Raw genomic sequence first — 18,419 nt, forward strand, 5'->3', positions numbered from 1 at the left:
AGCTGCCTCTAATCACTTGGATGAAGAATGCTTTGTATTCTAGTGTGGATGAGGATGTAGGAAGTATAATTTGGTTCATTATTTTTGGAGGACCATCTTGGCAATATGTATCAAAAGCCTTAAAATTATACATATGCTTGGGCCCAGGGATTCCAATTTTAGCTTTTGAGCAAATATTGAACTATGAGGATCTTTATCAGTGAATGTATTATAGAAAACATTGAAAACAACCTCTGTTCATTGATAAGTAACTGGGTAAATGATGGTACGTCTGAACAATAGAGTGCTAGGTAGTCATTAAAAATGATGCTGAAGGCTCAGGACTTAGATATTTATAGAATTTTTAGTCTCAAAGTAGTCAGAGTGAGAGTGGTGGTTCTGAAATCAGATCTCCTAAGTTGGAATCTCAGCCCCACCATTTAATTGCTGGATGACATTGGACAAGGCACTCAATTTCTTTAAGCCTCAATTTCTCCATCTATAAAATGGGGATAATAATGACACAATCACTCAGACTTATTGTGAAAATTTAATGAGATAATCCAAGTGAAAGGTTTAGCTTAGTCTAGTGCATAGTAAGCATTTGCTTAATAAATATTACTATTATTATGATTCCATGTTTGCTTTTATTTTATTTTATTTTGAGATGGAGTCTCGCTCTGTCACCCAGCCTGAAGTGCAGTGGTGTGATCTTGGCTCACTGCAACCTCCGCCTCCCGGGCTCAAGCAATTCTCCTGTCTCAGCCTCCTGAGTAGCTGGGACTACGGGCCCACGCCACCATGCCCGGCTAAGTTTTGTATTTTTAGTAGAGATGGGCTTTCACCATATTGGTCAGGCTGGTCTTGAACTCCTGACCTCAGGTGACCCACCTGCCTCATCCTCCCAAAGTGCTGGGATTACAGGCATGAGCCACCATGCCCAGCCCCATGTTTGCTTTTAAAACACATGTGTAGTAAAGGTAAGGAAGTAGTAAAAGTAAATGGAAGTCAAATTTAAGCGGTCATTTCTGGGTGATGGGATTGCATGTGGTTTAATTTTTTCCCGTGATTTCTTTATTTGCAGAATGCTCTGCAATAAGTGTGAACTACTTTTATATAAATGGAAAAAAAGGCACTACAATTAAGGAAGGGAGGAGAAAGTGGTCTTGCATTGTTGAGATCCTTAGAAAAATGTGCAAACCTACTTGCTCAGCTGTCCCCACTTAAAAGCACCTGAGGGTGGGCCTCGTGAAGAGAACCAGCAGGAGCCGGGCCCTGCCAGGCCTTCAGCCCACCTGTTGCCCACACCTGCTGTCCAGCACGCTTGCTTGCCTGCTTGCCCCAGCCTAGCAGGGGCGCCTGGAAGCTGCAGGCCTGGGAGTTGAGCTGATCAAGAAGATGAACTGGAGCTGTACTCACCAAAGTCCAGGACACAGGCAAGTCCCTGGTCACTTGTTTGCATCTTATCAGCACAGCAGCCAGGAAGAATTTATTAGAGGCCACCTCCATCCCTTCTGTCCTTGGGTCAGCCGGCTGTTCATTAGCATGTGTGACAAACTCCTCAATGCAAACAGAACCTTTAAGTGAGAATCAAACTGTTTCAATTTCTTTGGAGGAGTGGCAGTGAACTTCTCCAAAAGTGTCTGACGAAGGGGCTGGTTGGAGCTTTGAGGGCCTCAAGGAGAGCCCTGGAGGGACTGCCCTTAGCTAGGAAGGTGAGAGAAGAGCCTGGAGCAGAGGGGGGTCCCTACTACAGACTTTCCAGCTGTTGCTTGGGGACAACTGATAAGCCGGGAGAGCAGTTGGAGCACAGGCTGAGAAGGGAAGAAGCCCGCGGTGCAAAGATAGGGGTTGAGGGTTTGCTCTTCTTTTCCAGTGAATCTGCCGGAGGCTGACGGGGAGGGAGCTGGAAGGCCTTGTAGTCTGTATTGGGCCTCAGAGAGACCTGGGGGTGAGGCGTGGAGCCTGGTTTCTTGCTGATCACAGCTACTGTGGCCCATATCTCCTGCCCTATGCAGCAGCGAGGGGACGTGAACAGGAAAACAGCTGCTACAAGACATTCTGGGGCTGGGCGCGGTGGTTCATGCCTGTAATCCCAGCACTTTAGGAGGCTGAGGCGGGTGGATCACTTGCAGTCAGGAGTTCGAGACCAGCCTGACCAATATGGTGAAACCCCGTCTCTACTAAAAATGTAAAAATTAGCTGAGCGTGGTGGCGGGCGCCTGTAATCCCAGCTACCTGGGAGGCTGAGGTAGGAGAATTGTTGAACCCAGGAGATGGAGGTTGCAGTGAGCCAAGATCGTGCCACTGCACTCCAGCCTGGGTGACAGAGCGAGACTCTGCCTCAAAAAAAAAAAGTATTACGTTTGTATTTAATATTTTAACTGCTTTAGTAAAGAATAATTCACATACAATAAATGGCACCTATTAAAGTATATAATTTTATAAATATTGACATTGTTATAGACCTGCAAAACCACTACCATAATCAAGATAGGGAACAAATCTGTCACCCACAGAAGTTTCCTTGCACTTCTTTATCATCCTTCTTTTGTTCCTCCCTGCTCCTTTTGTCCCCAAGAAACCACCGATATACTGTCTGTCATTGTAGATTAGTTTGTGTTTTCTATAACTTTTTATAAATGGAATCATACAATATATCCTTTGCTGTTAGATTCTTTCACTCATTACAATTATTTTGAGATTCATTCATACTATTGTGTGTATACCGTATTTCTTTTTATTGTGGAGTAGTACTCCATTGTATAGATAGACCCTGTTTACCTATTCAGATATGATGGATATTTAGGTTTCAGTTTTTGGCTGTTGCAGATAAAGCTGCTGAGGACACTTCTGTACAAGTCTCTGTATGGGCGTATGCTTTCATTTCTCTTGAGTAAATACCTAGGAGTGGAATGGCTAGGTCATATAGTGGGCATATGTCTAACCTATTACAAAAAAAAAAAAAAAACTACTTCCAAACTGTTTTCCAAAGTGGTGTTACATTTTATTTATTTATTTATCTATTTTTTGGAGACAAAGTCTTGTTCTGTTGCCCAGCTTGGAGTGCAGTGCCATGATCATGGTTGACTGTGTTCTTGACCTCCTGGGCTCAAGTGATCTTCCCAGCCTAGCCTCCTGAGTAGCTGGGACTACAAGTGTGTGCCACCACATGTGGCTAATTTTTTCTATTTTTTTGTAGAGACAGGCTGTCACTTTGTTGCCTAGGCTGATCTCGAACTCTTGAGCTCAAATGATCCCCCTGCCTTGGCCCCCCAAGTTGCTGGGGTTGCAGGTGTGAGCCACCACATCCAGCTGACTTGACATTCCCACTAGCAGTGCAAGAGGGTTCCACTTGCTCCACGTCTTCACCAATGCTTGGTGTGGTCACTTTGATTTTAGACATTCTAATAGATGCACAGTGATATGATTGTAGTTTTAATTCACTTTCCCCCAGTGACAAACGATGTTGAATATCTTTTCATGTGAGTACTGTATTTGCCATTTGTATATCTTCTTTGGGGAAGTGTCTGTTCAAATCTTTTGCCCATTTTGGGAGGAGGGAGGAATTTTTTTTTATTTAGTTTTGAAAGTTCTTTATATATTCTGGGTGCAGGTAATTTGTATTATTTCCAAATATTTTCTCCTATTATGTGAATTGTCTTTTCAATCTTTTATTATAGTCTTTCAAAAAGGGTTTTTAATTTTGCTAATATCCGGCTTATACATTGTTTCTTTAACAGATTGGACTTCTGGTATCATGTCTATGAAAACTTTGCCTAACCCAAAGTCACAAATATCTCCTGTGTTTTCTTCTAGAAGTTATATAGTTTTAGGGTCTATATTTCTTTTGTTTTTTTGAGTTGGAGTCTTGCTCTGTCACCCAGGCTGGAGTGCAGTGGCACGATCTCAGCTTACTGCAGCCTCTGCCTCCCGGTTTTAAGCAATTCTCCTGCCTCAGCCTCCCTGGTACGTGGGATTACAGGCATGTGTCACCACGCCCAGCTAATTTTTGTATTTTTAGTAGAGACCGGATTTCACCACATTGGCCAGGCTGTTCTCGAACTCCTGACCTCAGTTGATCCGCCTACCTTGGCCTCCTAAAGTGCTGGGATTATAGGCATGAGCCACTGTGCCCCGCCTAGGGTCTGTATTTCATTAATGTTTGTATGTGGTTTGAGGTATGGATCAAATTTCATTTTTCTGCATATGGATATGCAATTGTTTTAGCACCAGTTTTGAAAAGATTGTTCTTTATTGATTTGTCTTTGTACTTTCATAAAAAATCAGTTGTCCATATATGTGCCTATTTCTGGGCTCTCTATTCTGTTCCATTGGTCTATTTGGCGATTTTTACAACAATACCACAGTCTTAAGTGTAGTTTTATAATAAGTTTTGAAATCAGGTAGTATAGTTCTCCAACATTGTTTTTATTTTTCAAAGTTGCTTTGGTTATTTTAGATCCTTTGTATTTCTGACTTTTAGAATCAGCTTTTTAATTTCTTAGAAAGCTTTCTGAGATTTTGATTGGGAGTATATTGAATCTATACATCAATATGAAGAGAACTGACATCTTAACAATATTGAGTCTTCCTACCTAAGAACATGGGATATCGCTTCATTTTAATGTCTCTTAGGAATGTTTTGTAATCTTCAGCATACAGGCCTTGCATATTTTATCAGATTTATCCCTGAGTATTTCATGTTGTTTATGCCATTGTAAACGATATTACTTTCATTTCCAACTTCTGATTATTTATTGCAAGCATATAGAAATAAAATAAATTTTTTGTATATTGATTTTGTATCTTACAACATAGATGATCATATCACTTGTAGATAAATCCCTTTCAATTGGGCACCCTTTCAATTGGGGTGCCTTTTATTTCTTTTTCTTGGCTTAGTAAACCTCCAGTACAATGTAGAGTAGAAATGAGGAATTGAACAGGGGTGTCTGGTTCTTTGTCTTAAGGGGAAAGCATTGAGTCTTTCACCATTGAGTGTTATGTTGCCTGAAGGTTTTTCATAAATGCCCTTTATCAAGTTGAGGAAGTTCTTTCTATTCCTAGTTTGCTGACAGTATTCTTTTTAACAATAAAGAATAGATGTTAGATTTTATCAAATGTCTTCACTGCATCTATTAAGATGTTCATATGATTTATCTTTTTCAGCCTCTAATATGGTAAATTACACTGATTTTAAACTAATCTTGCATTCCTGGGATAAAGCTTACCTAGTCTTTTTAGATATTTTTAAGACTGTATTTGTTAAATTTAAAAAATATATATTTATTTATTTATTTAGAGATGTGATCTCACTCTGTTACCCAGGCTGGAGCAGTGGCATGATCATAGCTCACTGCTGCCTTGAATTTCTGGGCTCAGAAGATACTGCTGCCTCAGCCTTCTGAGTAGCTGGGACTATAGATACATACCACCATGCCCAGCTAATTTTTGAATTTTTTTGTAGAGATAGGGTCTCACTGTCTTGCCCAGGGCTCAAGGGATTCTTCTACCTCGGCCTCCTAAAGTTACAAATTACAGGTGTGAGCCACCAAGCCCAGACTTTTTATTTTACTTTATGATGACGATGATGATGGTGATGATGATGATGATGATGATGATGTTTTGAGATGGAGTCTTGCTCTGTTACCCAGGCTGGAGTGCAGTGGTGTGATCTTGGCTCACTGCAGCCTCCGCCTCCCCAGTTCAAGTGATTCTCATGCTTCAGCCTCCTGAGTAGCTGGGACTACAGGCATGTGCCATTATGCCTGGCTAATTTTTGTATTTTTAGTAGAGATGGGATTTTGCCATGTTGCCCAAGCTGGTCTTGAACTCTTGACCTCAGGTGATCCACCTGCCCCAGCTGCCCAAAGTGCTGGGCTGGGATTACAGGCATAAGCCACTGCTTCTGGCCTTTATTTTTTTTTTGAAATGGGGGTCTTATTCTGCCACCCAGGCTGGAGTGCAATGGTGAGATCATGGCTTACTGCAGCCTCGACCTCCTGGGCTCAAGTGATCCTCCCAGCTTATCACCCTGAGTAGCTGAGACTACCAGCACCCACCACCGTGCCAAGTTAATTAAAAAATTTTTTTTGTATAGACGGGATCTCCCTATGTTGCCCAGGGTGGTCTCAAACTCCTGGGCTCAAGTGATCCTCCCACCTTGGCCTCCCAAAATGCTGGAATTACACAGGTATGAGACACTGAGACAGGCTCTGATACAATTTTGTTAAGAATTTTGTATCTATGTTCTTAAGGAATGCTGAGTTGTAGATATTTTTCCCTGTAATGTGTCTGTGTAGTCTTGGTACCAAGGTAGTCCTGACATCATAGAATCAATTAAGCATCATTCCTTCCTCTTCACTTTACTAGAAGAGTTTATGTGGAAGTGGTATTATTTTGTCCTTTAATGTTTGGTGGAATTCACCTATGAAGCCATTTGGGCCTGGACATTTATGGGAAGGTTTTTACTCACAAATTCAATTTATTTAATAGATATAGGCCTATTTAGGTTACATTCCTTCTTGAGTGAGCTTTAGTAATTTTTGTCTTTCCTTTTTTTTTTTTTTTGAGATGGAGTCTTGCTCTGTTGCCCAGGCTGGAGTGCAGTGGCGCGATCTTGGCTCTCTACAAGCTCCACCTCCCAGGTTCACGCCATTCTCCTGCCTCAGCCTTGCGAGTAGCTGGGACCACAGGTGCCCGCCACAATGCCCGGCTAATTTTTTGTATTTTTAGTAGAGACAGGGTTTCACCGTGTTAGCCAGGATGGTCTCGATCTCCTGACCTTGTGATCCACCCGCCTCAACCTCCCAAAGTGCTGGGATTACAGGCATGAGCCACCGTGCCTGGCCAGTAATTTTTGTCTTTCAAGGAATTTGTCCATTTAACCTAAGTTTTCAAGTTTATTGGCATAAAGGTTTTTATAATAATTTCTTTTTATTCTTTTAGTATCTGTAGAGTTTGTGGTGATGTCACATCTCTCATTTATGTTAGTGGCAATTTGCGTATTTTCTCCTTTTTTCCTGATCAATCTGGCTAGAGGTTTATTTTCTCAAAAATTAGTTTTTCCTTTATTTTATGTTCTTTTTCTGTGTGGTTTTTTTTTTTTTTTTTTTTTTAGACAAAGTCTCGCCCTGTCGCCCAGGCTGGAGTGCAATGGTGCGATCTCAGCTTACTGCAACCTCCACCTCCCAGTTTCAAGTGATTCTCCTGCCTCAGTCTCCCGAGTAGCTGGGATTACAGGCGCATTGCCACCACACCTGGCTAACTTTTGTATTTTTAGTAGAGATGGGGTTTCTCCCTGTTGGCCAGGCTGGTCTTAAAACTCCTGACCTCAGGTGATCTGCCCACCTCAGCCTCCCAAAGTGCTGGGATTACAGGCATGAGCCACCGCTCCGGCCCCTTTTTCTGTGTGTGTGTTTTTTTTTAATTGATTTTTGATCTGCTCTTTATTCTTTTATTCTTTTTACTTTGGGTTTCATTTGGTCTTCTTTTCCTAGTTTCTTAAGGAGGAAAATTAAGTCATTAATTTGAGACATTTGCACTTTTCTAACTAGGTGTTTTAGTGCTATAAATTTCCTTCTAATGCTGCTTTAGCATGAAATTTGTGCTTCTTGAGCACAAAATTTGATATGGTGTTTTCATTTTCATTCTCTTTAAAATACTTTCTAATTTCCCTTTTGATTTCTTCTTTGACCCATAGGTTATTTCAAATGTATTATTTTGTTTCAAATACATGGAGAAATTTTCAGATATCTCCCTGCTACTGATACATAATTTCATAATTTAGTTCTATTGTGGTCAGAGAACACACTTTGTTTGACTTGAATCCTTCCAAATAAATTAAGACTTGTTTTATGGCTCAGCATATATTCTATCATAGTAAATATTCCATGTGCAGTTAAGTGCATTTTGCTGTTGTTGGGTGGAATGAATGATCTATAAATATGAATTATGTCAAGTTGGTTGACAGTGTTATTTGATTCATCTATATCCTTACTGATTTTCTGACTTGTTCTAGTGATTGTTTTTAAAAAGTGTGTTGAAATCTCCAACAATAATTGTGATTTTACTTCTCCTTTTCAATTCTATCAGTTTTTGCTTCATGTATTACAAAGCTATATTAATAGGTGCATAAACAAAATTAATTATGCCTTTTTGATGCTTTGACCCTTTTATCATTATGAAATAACCCTCTTTATCTCTGGTAATTTTTTTCTCTGAAACTTACTTTTCTACTTTGTCTGAAATTAATATAGCCACTCCACTTACTTTTGATTAGTGTTAGCATGGTATATTTTTTCCATGCTTATACTTTGAGCCTTATTTGTTCTTTACCTTTAAGGTTGGTTTCTTCTAGGCAGCATATTATTGCATTTTGCTTTTTTACCCAGTCTGGCAGTCTCTGCCTTTTAATAGGGATATTTAGACCATTTACATATAATGTGATTATTGATATGGATAGAGTTAAATCCACCATTTTGCTACTTATTTCACTTTATATTTTCGGTTTTTTGTTCCCCTTTTCCTCTTTTTGAAAACCTTTTGAATTAACTTTTATTATTCCATTTCATTTCAATAGTTGGCTTGTTGTAACTCTTGGTTTTGTTAGTTTGAATTTATGCAGTCTATCTTCACATGATATTATATCACTTCCTATGTAGTATAATAACCTTACAACAATATACCTCGGATTCATATTTTTACCTTTAGGCCTTTATGCTCCTGTTGCTATATATACATATATATATATATATATATATATATATATATAAACATTTTATTTGGTATAAGTATACACATTTAAACATGTTAGAAACCTCTTGATATGTTGTTATTTTTTAATTAAACCTGTCTATTATCAATATATGTATAGCATTTAGTACAATCTATAGTATACAGGATACCTCTCAGGCTTTGCCCAACTACCCTTTTCTTAAGTAGACTCTTCCTTCCATAACATCTTTTGTAATTAGCTATTATTTTAAAAATTTTGTCTTTCATCATTCCACCACTGGATCATGAACCGGGACAAGGTCAGTCTTGTTAACATATTTAAAACCTCATACGGGGCCTAACAAATAAATATTGTTGGATGTATGAAAGGTTATTTTCCAAAGCTTTTAATATTCACTTGATTTTTTTCTTACAGCAAAGCTGTGCCAGTTTACATTTTCACCAGCTTTGTGTGAATTGTTTACTTTTCACTTAATTGCCAATGATATTGAGTATGGTTGTGTTAAAGAAATTGTTCCATATTTTGAGGGTGTAAACTGATAATTTTAAAAACTTGTGCTCTTTGTCTTTTTTGAAGAGGGAATCTTTTACATTGTATAATTACTTCTATTTTTACATGTTTTCTGTTTATGTTCTTCATTCTTATTAATAAAAATAAAGATAGAATAAGGGTTAAAAAAAACAAACCCCAAAACTATTAATTATTTTTAAAGATATTTGCGTATTAAGAACAAATCTTATATAGCTAACATTGTTGGTGTTCTTTGTTCCTTTGTGTAGATACATAGTTATATCTGGTATCACTTACCTTCTGCCTGAACTTTTTTTTCCTGTGAATAAATTATGTTTCATGAAATCAAAGTGATAAAAAAAACATTTCAGCCTGGGCTCATTCTATCCAAGAAAAAGAGCGAGGAAACAGCTCGTAAAAAACAAGATAACGTAGGCTGTGCGTGGTGGCTCACACCTGTAATCCCAGCATTTTGGGAAGCCAAGGCGGGTGGATCACAAGATCAGGAGTTTGAGACCAGTCTGGCCAATATGGTGAAACCCCGTCTCTACTAAAAATACAAAAAAATTAGCTGGGCATGGTGGTGCACGCCTGTAATCCCAGCTACTCGGGAGGCAGAGGCAGGAGAATCACTTGAACCCAGGAGGTGGAGGTTACAGTGAGCCAAGATGGCGCCATTGCACTCCAGCCTGGGCAACAGAACGAGACTCTTTCTCATTAAAAAAAACAAAAAAAAAAAAACAAAAAAAAAAACAAAAAAACAAGATAATGTAATCAAATGACACTCATAAGACCCCACACCTCGTAATAGAAATACATAATATATGTACTAGAAAAATAACTCTTACCATTTATTCAATACGTAACATTTCCCAGGCACTGTGCTAGATGCTTTACAATTATGATTTCTAATTTTATTTTTATTTTTTGAGACGGAGTTTCATTCTTGTTGCCCAGGCTGGAGTGCAATGGCACGATCTCAGCTCACTGCAGCCTCCACCTCCCGAGTTCAAGCGATTCTCCTGGTTTAGACTCCTGAGTAGCTGGGATTACAGGCGTGTGCCACCATGCCAGGCTAATGTTTTGTATTTTTAGTAGAGACAAGGTTTCACCACGTTGGCCAGGCTGATCTTGAACTCCTGACCTCAGGTGATTCACCCACCTTGGCCTCCCAAAGTGCTGGGATTACAGGCATGAGCCACCATGCCCGGCCTGATTTCTAATTCTAAAAACCATTCTCAGGTAAATGATTAAAGCTTTTAAAAGTTTTGTGGTTTTTTCAAACAGAAGAAGAAAATGATGCTTATTAAAGTTGAATGACTCATCCAAGGCCATATAGCTGGTCAGCAGCAGAACTGGGGTTTGAACCCAAGTTTTTCTTCCTCACCATACAGAATTTACTGTATAGAAAAATAGCTGAATAAATTTCTCTTGTTATTTTAGCCAAATTTCATATGCAAAATCCCAGGAGTGGCCTACTATTCTGATGTGTCAATATCTATCTTTCATCATGTGAATAAACAACAGAGAAAATCCATTGTGCTCTTATGAGTTTGGAAAACAAAGTGTTATCACAGATATTCTTGTCCTCAGTTCCAATGATTTTGAACCTGTTATTCAGAACAAGAAGCCGCCTGATTCAAATACAAAACAAAACATTCTATTTAGTGCAAACACAAAGATCTGAAACTCCATTTTAAAGTCATTTCTGTACAGTAAGAATCCAGCCTGCATCTGTCAGTGGTAGAGAGAATAGTAAACAGAGGAGTCCCTGAAGAGGTCACAGTGTTGACAAAGTTCAACATGATAGTGGAGTCTGCACAAATACAGGGAACAAAGCTTGGCCCTTCCACACAGCTGTGAGGCCTTGACTTCGTTTTAAGTCAACGTCATTTCATGTCTCACATATTTCCCAGTGTCTGCATGATGAAATACCACAGTCACCAGGAGGTCCACTTTTCTGCAGTCTTGTGTAGATTTTCCTGCCACCCCAAAACCCAAGGAATGTCTGCCATGGAGCACACCACCACTGCCTGGTACTGAGAAGTCTTTTTGGTGATTCAACCCAGACCATATTTCAACAGATGGTTCCCATACGGGAAGGACTGACCTGCTCCAGGAAGAAGCTCTAGGCTTTATCCGCACTTTATACTTGGTATAGGGTACAAGGTAATCCAGAGTTGTGATGTGCAACTGAAACCTGTGGGTCTTAGTGAATTTTCCGAAGCAGGTTCCCAGCAACACCAGCTTGTCCCTGGAGATACTGGCAGCCAACTTCAGAATCTTCTCACTCACATAGCGTAGGTGCCGTCGGGCCTGTCAAGTGGCAGCAGATTCTCCCTGATGTATTTCATGGTCTTCTCAAACATTATATGGGCCTGCTCTTCAGCCAAGTCCACATTTTCCCGCTAGAATGGAACACCGGATCCTCATGCCCCATTGGCAGGGAAACCTGAACTTTTAAAAAAACCTTTCATGTAATGTGGGTCTGTTCTAATTAAGTCTTTCAGCTTTTGTCTGCCTAATAGTCTTTATTTTACTTTTGTTTTTGAAAGACATTTTTTACCAAGTAGAGAATTTTAGATTAATAGTTTTTTTTATTTCAGTATTTTAAAGATACTGCTCCACTGTCTTACTTTTTTCGATTGTTTCTAACAAGACATTTATTGCTGTCCCACCTCTGTTTCTCTGTACATAATGTGGGGTTTTTTTTCCCTCTGAATGCTTTTTAAGATTTTCTCTTTAACACTGGTTGGGAGCATTTTGATTATAATATACTTCCAAATTCCTTGTGCTTGGAGTTTGTTGAGCTCCTTGGATTTGTGGATTTATACTTTTCATCAAATTTTGTAAAATTTTAGCCAATAATTTTTTTTTTTTTTTTGAGACGGAGTCTCGCTCTGTCACCCAGGCTGGACTGCAGTGGCGCAATCTCGGCTCACTGCAAGCTCCACCTCCTGGGTTCATGCCATTCTCCTGCCTCAGCCTCCCAAGTAGCTGAGACTACAGACACCCACCACCACGCCCGGCTAATTTTCTGTATTTTTAGTAGAGACAGGGTTTCACCATGTTAGCCAGAGTGGTCTTGATATCCTGACCTCGTGAACCGCCTGCCTTGGCCTCCCACAAGTGCTGGGATTATAGGCTTGAGCCACCGCACCCGGCCGCCAATAATTCTCTTCAATTATTTTTTCCTTTCTCTCTTTCCTCTCCTTTGGGGACTGCTTGAAGTCATCTCATGGCTCACTGATGCTGTTTGCATTTTTAAAATTCTCTTTTCTTTGTTTCATTTTGGGTAGTTTTTATTGCTATCTATTTGAATTTACTATTTTCTTCTGCATGTCTCATCCGCTATTAATCCCATCCACAGTATTTTTTTTTCCTTTTTGTTTTTCTTGAGACGGAGTCTTGCTCTGTCACCCAGAGTGTAGTGCAATGGTGTGATCTCAGCTCACTGCAACCTCCATCTTCCAGGTTCAAGCTATCCTTCCACCTCAGCCTCCTGAGCAGCTGGGAGTACAGGCACGTGCCACCACGCCTGGCTGATTTTTGTTATTTTTAGTAGAGACAGGGTTTCACCATGTTGGCCAGGCTGGTCTCAAACTCCTGACCTCAAGTGATCCGCCAGCCTCAGCCTCCCAAAGTGCTAGGATTATAGGCATGAGCCACTGCACGCAGCCCACACTATTTGTCACCTCAGACATCGTAGTCTGCATCTGTAGAAGTTCAGTTTGCGTGTCTTCTCCCAGCCCTCTGGTATTATCTTCCTTGTCTCTGCTTAACTTTTCGAACACATAAAATATAGTTATAATAACTGTTACAATGTCTATCTCTGCTAATTCTGACATCTGCATTAGTTCTGGGTTGGTTTAAACTGGTAATTTTTCTCCTCATTTTGGATCACATTTTTTAGCTTCTTTATTTTACCTGGTAATTTTTAATTGGATGCCAGACATTCTGAGTTACATCTTGTTTTTTTGTTTAATAAGATATTTTATATTCCTATAGTTACTATATTCCTCTTACTGTCTGGGTCTTTCCAGACTCTTAGCTGTGTCTCCTCGATTGAGGGGTCTGCTGGATTCTGCTTGAATTACTCCTCCATGTGCTGTGGCCTGGAAACTCTTTCAAGTCCGTAAGCTGGGGCGGTCATAGGCTTCCCGTCATTTGTTCCTTATCACGCAGGGATCACTGTCCTTTGTTGCCTGTTACCAAGTGTCCTGGAAACGACCGTTTCATATATTTTGTCCATTCTTTTTGGTTGTTTCAGGCATGGAGGTAAATCTGGTTTCCATTACTCTTTCTTGGTTGGAAGTAGAAAGAAATCTCTTTTTATTGATGTGAAATTCAAATAGCATAAAAGTAACCATTGAAAAATGAACGATTCAGGGGCATTTAGTATATTCATAATGTGGTGCAAGCACCACCTCTGTCTAGTCCCCATTTTTATCACCCCAGAAGGAAACCTATTACCCCTCCCTCAGTCCTTGGCCTGTGCCTTCTCTATGGATTTAAATATTCTGGATATTTCATGTAAATAGGATCCTATGATATGTGATTTTTTGTGTCTGGCTTCTTTCACTTAACATAATGTTTTCAATTTCAGTGCTCACCCATGCTGTAGTATGTATCAGTAGTTCGTTCCTTTTTATTGCCAAATGATATTTCTTTCATTCTGTGTTGTAAGGGCCAAGGGAAAACTCCTCCTTTGCCCTGTGAAATTTTGCTGAAAAATCAACTGACAAAAGGCAAATTAATAAGAGAAAAGGCACACAGATTTATTAATGTGCACATGGGAGAAAACCACAGAGTAATTACCCCAACCCCTCAATAGGGTTCAGAAGCTTATACAACATCTTGAGGTTGCAGAAAGAATAACGGCTTGGATTATGGCAAAACAGGTTATGGGAGGGGGAGAAGGGGAGGCATGGCTAGCATACGTGGTCTTGTAATGTAAATGAAACTTCACAGGTAGCAGCCCTCAGAAAGAATAGATGGCAAATGTGTCTTCCAGACTTTTATTTTTTTATTTTTATTTTTATTTTTTTCAGTGGAGTTTCGCTCTTGTTGCCCAGGCTGTGGCACGATCCCGGCTCACTGCAACCTCCACATCCCAGGTTCCAGCGATTCTCCTGCCTCAGCCTCCCGAGTAGCTGGGATTACAGGCATACACCACCATGCCCAGCTAGTTTTGTATTTTTAGTAGAGACGGGGTTTCTCCATGTTGGTCAGGCTGGTCTCGAACTCCCAACCTCAGGTGATCCACCCACCTTGGTCTCCCAAAGTGCTGGGATTACAGGCGTGAGCCAACATGCCTGGCTCTTCCAGACTTTTAAAGGTGTCAGACTCTCAGTTAATCTTTCCTAGATTAGACAAAGGAAGGCCTCAGAAAAAGCCTGGCTGCATCTGTGCAGATTTTCTCTACAGATGCCAAGTCTCTTCCACAAAAGGCAGCTTTGCAGGCCTACTTCTGTTTGCAAGCCCTCTGAACAGCTATCTCAAAATACGTCAGATTTTTGGTTTTGGGTGCACTATTTTGATTTCCTTTAATGTATATGCCATGATTTGTGATTCATGTATCTGCTGATGGACATTTGGGTTGTTTCCACCTTTCAGATATTGTGAATGCTGTGGCCATGAGCATGCGTGCCTATGTGTTTGTTTCAGTACCTGTTTTCAATTCTTTTGTGAATACACCTGGGAGTGGGATTGCTGGGTCATATGATAATTCTATTCTTAACTTTTTGAAGAACTGCCAAATTGCTTTCCACAGTGGCTTAACCATTGCACATTTTCATCCTCTTTTTTTAAAAAAAACAATTTTTGGGGGGTATGAATTTACATACCTTAAATCACACACATTTTAAGTATACAGCTCAATGAGTTTTGTCAGATGAACACATTTGTATAATCACCATCACAATCAAGAAAGTAAACTTTTCTATCACCTTAGAAAGTTTCCTCATATCTATGTGGAGTCAATTCCTCTTTTAGTCAACCACTGTTTTCGTTAACTGTAGATGAGCTTTGCTTGTTCCAGAACTTTATATCAATGCAGTGTGTACTCTTTTGGATCTGAAGTCTTTTGTTCTGCCTAATGTTTTTATGAGATTTATCCATGCTGATAGGTGTACTACAGTTTGTCCCTTTTGACTGCTGAGTAAAATTCTATCTTGTTGGTATACCACGATTTGTTCATCTGTTGAATGTATATTTGGGTTGTTTTCAGTTTGGGGCTATTATAAATAAAGCTATAAGCATTTTCAGTCTATGTGTGTCTTCATAATGAAGCTTTATGTCTTATAGATAACATATATTTGAGTTCTACTTTTTATCCACTTGGACTACAGGCACGCACCACCATGTCTGGCTAATTTTTTTTGCATTTTTTGGAGAAGGGGTTTCACCATGTTGCCCAGGCTGGTTTCAAACTCCTGGGCTCAAGTGATCCTCCCATCTTGGCCTCCCAAAGTGCTGGGATTACAGGTGTGAGCCACCATGCCGGGCCTCAATCTCTGCCTTTCAATTTGCGGCTTTTACATTGAAAGTAATTTTTGATATGGCTGTGTTTAAATCTATTAAATTGGTACAAAAGTAATTGCAGCAAAAACTGCAGTTACTTTTGCACCAACCCAATATTATTTTGCTACTTGTTTTCCATTTGTTTATTCAGTTTTTTTCTTCTTTGTTGCTCCTTGTCTTCCTTCTTTGGGTTAACCAATTTTTTTTTTTTTTTGAGATAGAGTCTCACTCTGTCACCCAGGCAGGAGTGCAGTGGTGCAGTCTCGACTCACTGCAACCTCTGCCTTCCGGGTTCAAGTAATTCTCCTGCCTCAGCCTCCCAAGTAGCTGGGACTACAGGCATATGCCACTACACTCAGAAAATTTTTGTTTTTTTAGTAGAGACGAGGTTTTACCACATTGGCCAGGCTGGTCTCGAACACCTGACCTCAAGTGATCCACCTGCCTCGGCTTCCCAAAGTGCTGGGATTACAGGCGTGAGCCACTGCGCCCAACCACCAAATATTTTTTGATATTCCATTTTATTTCCTCTATTTGCTTCTTTCTTTTTCTTTTTTTTTTTTTTTTGAGATGGAGTCTCGCTTTGTGTGCAGTGCCATGATTTCAGCTTATTGCAACCTCCACCTCCCAGGATTAAGCTTTTCTCATGCCTCAGCCTCCCCAGTAGCAGTAGCTGGGACTACAGGCACGTGCCACCACACCCTGCTAAATTTTTTTTTTTGTATTTTTTGTAGAGATGGGGTTTCACCATGTTGGCCAGGCTAGTCTTGAACTCCTGACCACAAATGGACCGCCCTCCTCAGCCTCCCGAAGTGCTGGGATTACAGGCTTAAGGCACTGCACCAAGCCTATTTTCTCTATTTGTTTCTCTCTTTTTTGGAGATGGAGTCTCACTCTTGTTGCCCAGGCTGGAGTGCAATGGTGTGATCTTGGCTCACTGTAACCTCCACCTCCCAGTTTCAAGCAATTCTCCTGTCTCAGCCTCCTGAGTAGCTGGGATTACAGGAGCCCGCTACCACGCCCAGCTAATTTTTGTATTTTTAGTAGAGACAGGGTTTCACCATATTGGCCAGGCTGGTCTCAAACTCCTGACCTCAGGTGATCCACCCGCCTCAGCTTCCCAAAGTGCTGGGATTACAGGCGTCAGTCACTGCACCTGGCCTCCTGTATTTGTTTCTTAGCTATACATTAAAAAATATTTTAAGTGGTTTCTAGGGCTAATAGTATACATCCCAATCTTATCCAAAACTGTTTAGAATGGATTTTACTACCTCATGTTTCATAATCACACTTCATCCCTGACACTTCAAACTTCTGCCTTCCTAATTTACAAATGAAATCACCTTACAACAGCATAATTCTATTTGCACCCCCCTTATCAGAGGGCTTTTATTATATAGAAAAAAAAACTTGATTAAGACATGTTCCCTTTCCTCGATGAGCCTGGAGTAGAGGGGAAGACAGATGTATAAAAGAAAGAATTGTACTGTGGAAAGGTAAAGGTAAACCCCAAAAAAGGGGCAGAAGTAGACTCAAGTGGGGAATTATCAAATCTCATCAAAGAGGTGCAGAATCCAGGAGGGCTTCACAGAGGAGGTCCTGGAGATGGAGTTGTAAAAATAAGTATGGCTTACTGGAGCAAAAGGAGAAATGGTGCCATAGGCAGAAGGAACTAGAAAGCATCAATAGTTCAGTGTGTCTGCAGCAGGCAATAGGCAGTGTGAGAAGAGTAAATAGACGAGGCTGAAGTTCAGGGCATTATTGCTGGATCCTGGAAAGCCATGAGTGTCATGTCAAGTTCTAACTTCAGTGCATGGGTAATAGGGAGTCGCTTAATAGGGAGCTTTCATACATTCAGATTTGTTTTAGGCAGTGATGGCTGGATTGAAGGGGCCAAGACAGGAGGGCAGAGAAAGGAATTTGTAGGAGAATTTGGTGTCCCTGTGAGAAACAAGGGCTGCTCTAATGCGCCTGGACAGAAGGGCTACAGATGCAGGCATGATTAAAGAGCAGAACCATAGGAACTTAGAATCAACTGATGTAAGAAATGAGCATGAAGGAGGTGCCTGGGATGACTAGAGGTGGAAGTAATCTTCACTAGGATGGAGATGGCAGATGATGGTCACTGTCAGGAGAGGGAGGAAGATGAAGACTTCAAGATGGAATGTACTGAGTGTGGGGGTATCTGTGGAATCTGTTGAAAATGCTCAAAAGAGAGCTGCAAATACAATCTGGTGTTCAGGGCAGAGGAGAATGGAATTGGAGTCATCAATGGATGGTGTGGAGAGGTGCATGGCAATTATGATTATGGATGACACTGACCATAATGAAACTTGTAGATTTGGAATAACAGGCAAGAGGAAGGCTTGGAAAGGGACTGAGGGGAAACCATCCAAGAAGATGGTGGCTTGCCAAGATGCCATGCTCCAAGGGAGCATTCCTTGTTTTATCCACTTCTAGAATCGTCCATCAGTCTTTCTGCTTCACCTAAGAGGACATTTCATGTTAATTGAGTATGTGGGTTTTTTTTTTTTTTACCCATTATTAATGTACCAGTATCTGCTTCTCAAAGCCCAAAGGTGGGGTCACATGACCAACCCAATGGATCACCAATGGATCACACTCCCTGCCACCATGCAAGGGAAAGAAGGATGAGGCACACATTTCT

The 18,419-nt window shown here is 40.4% G+C and overlaps 1 pseudogene, besides 3 other annotated features; it reads right to left on the reverse strand.

Annotated features, from left to right (window-relative positions):
* Positions 776 to 1,632: an enhancer, noted in NCBI's record as "H3K27ac-H3K4me1 hESC enhancer chr10:94856294-94857150 (GRCh37/hg19 assembly coordinates)". NCBI's record gives its function as "activates a minimal SCP1, AML or CMV promoter by ChIP-STARR-seq in naive H9 embryonic stem cells {active_cell/tissue: H9 hESC(naive)}" and the evidence as "EXISTENCE:reporter gene assay evidence [ECO:0000049][PMID:30033119]".
* Positions 1,633 to 2,489: an enhancer, noted in NCBI's record as "H3K27ac-H3K4me1 hESC enhancer chr10:94857151-94858007 (GRCh37/hg19 assembly coordinates)". NCBI's record gives its function as "activates a minimal SCP1, AML or CMV promoter by ChIP-STARR-seq in naive H9 embryonic stem cells {active_cell/tissue: H9 hESC(naive)}" and the evidence as "EXISTENCE:reporter gene assay evidence [ECO:0000049][PMID:30033119]".
* Positions 10,160 to 11,528, reverse strand: NIP7P1 (NIP7 pseudogene 1; annotated as a pseudogene).
* Positions 10,931 to 11,225: an enhancer, noted in NCBI's record as "tiled region #10607; K562 Activating non-DNase unmatched - State 24:Quies". NCBI's record gives its function as "activates a minimal TATA promoter and a strong SV40 promoter by Sharpr-MPRA in K562 cells {active_cell/tissue: K562}" and the evidence as "EXISTENCE:reporter gene assay evidence [ECO:0000049][PMID:27701403]".

Source organism: Homo sapiens, chromosome 10, assembly GCF_000001405.40.
Source record: "Homo sapiens chromosome 10, GRCh38.p14 Primary Assembly".
NCBI classification, from domain to species: Eukaryota; Metazoa; Chordata; class Mammalia; order Primates; family Hominidae; genus Homo; species Homo sapiens.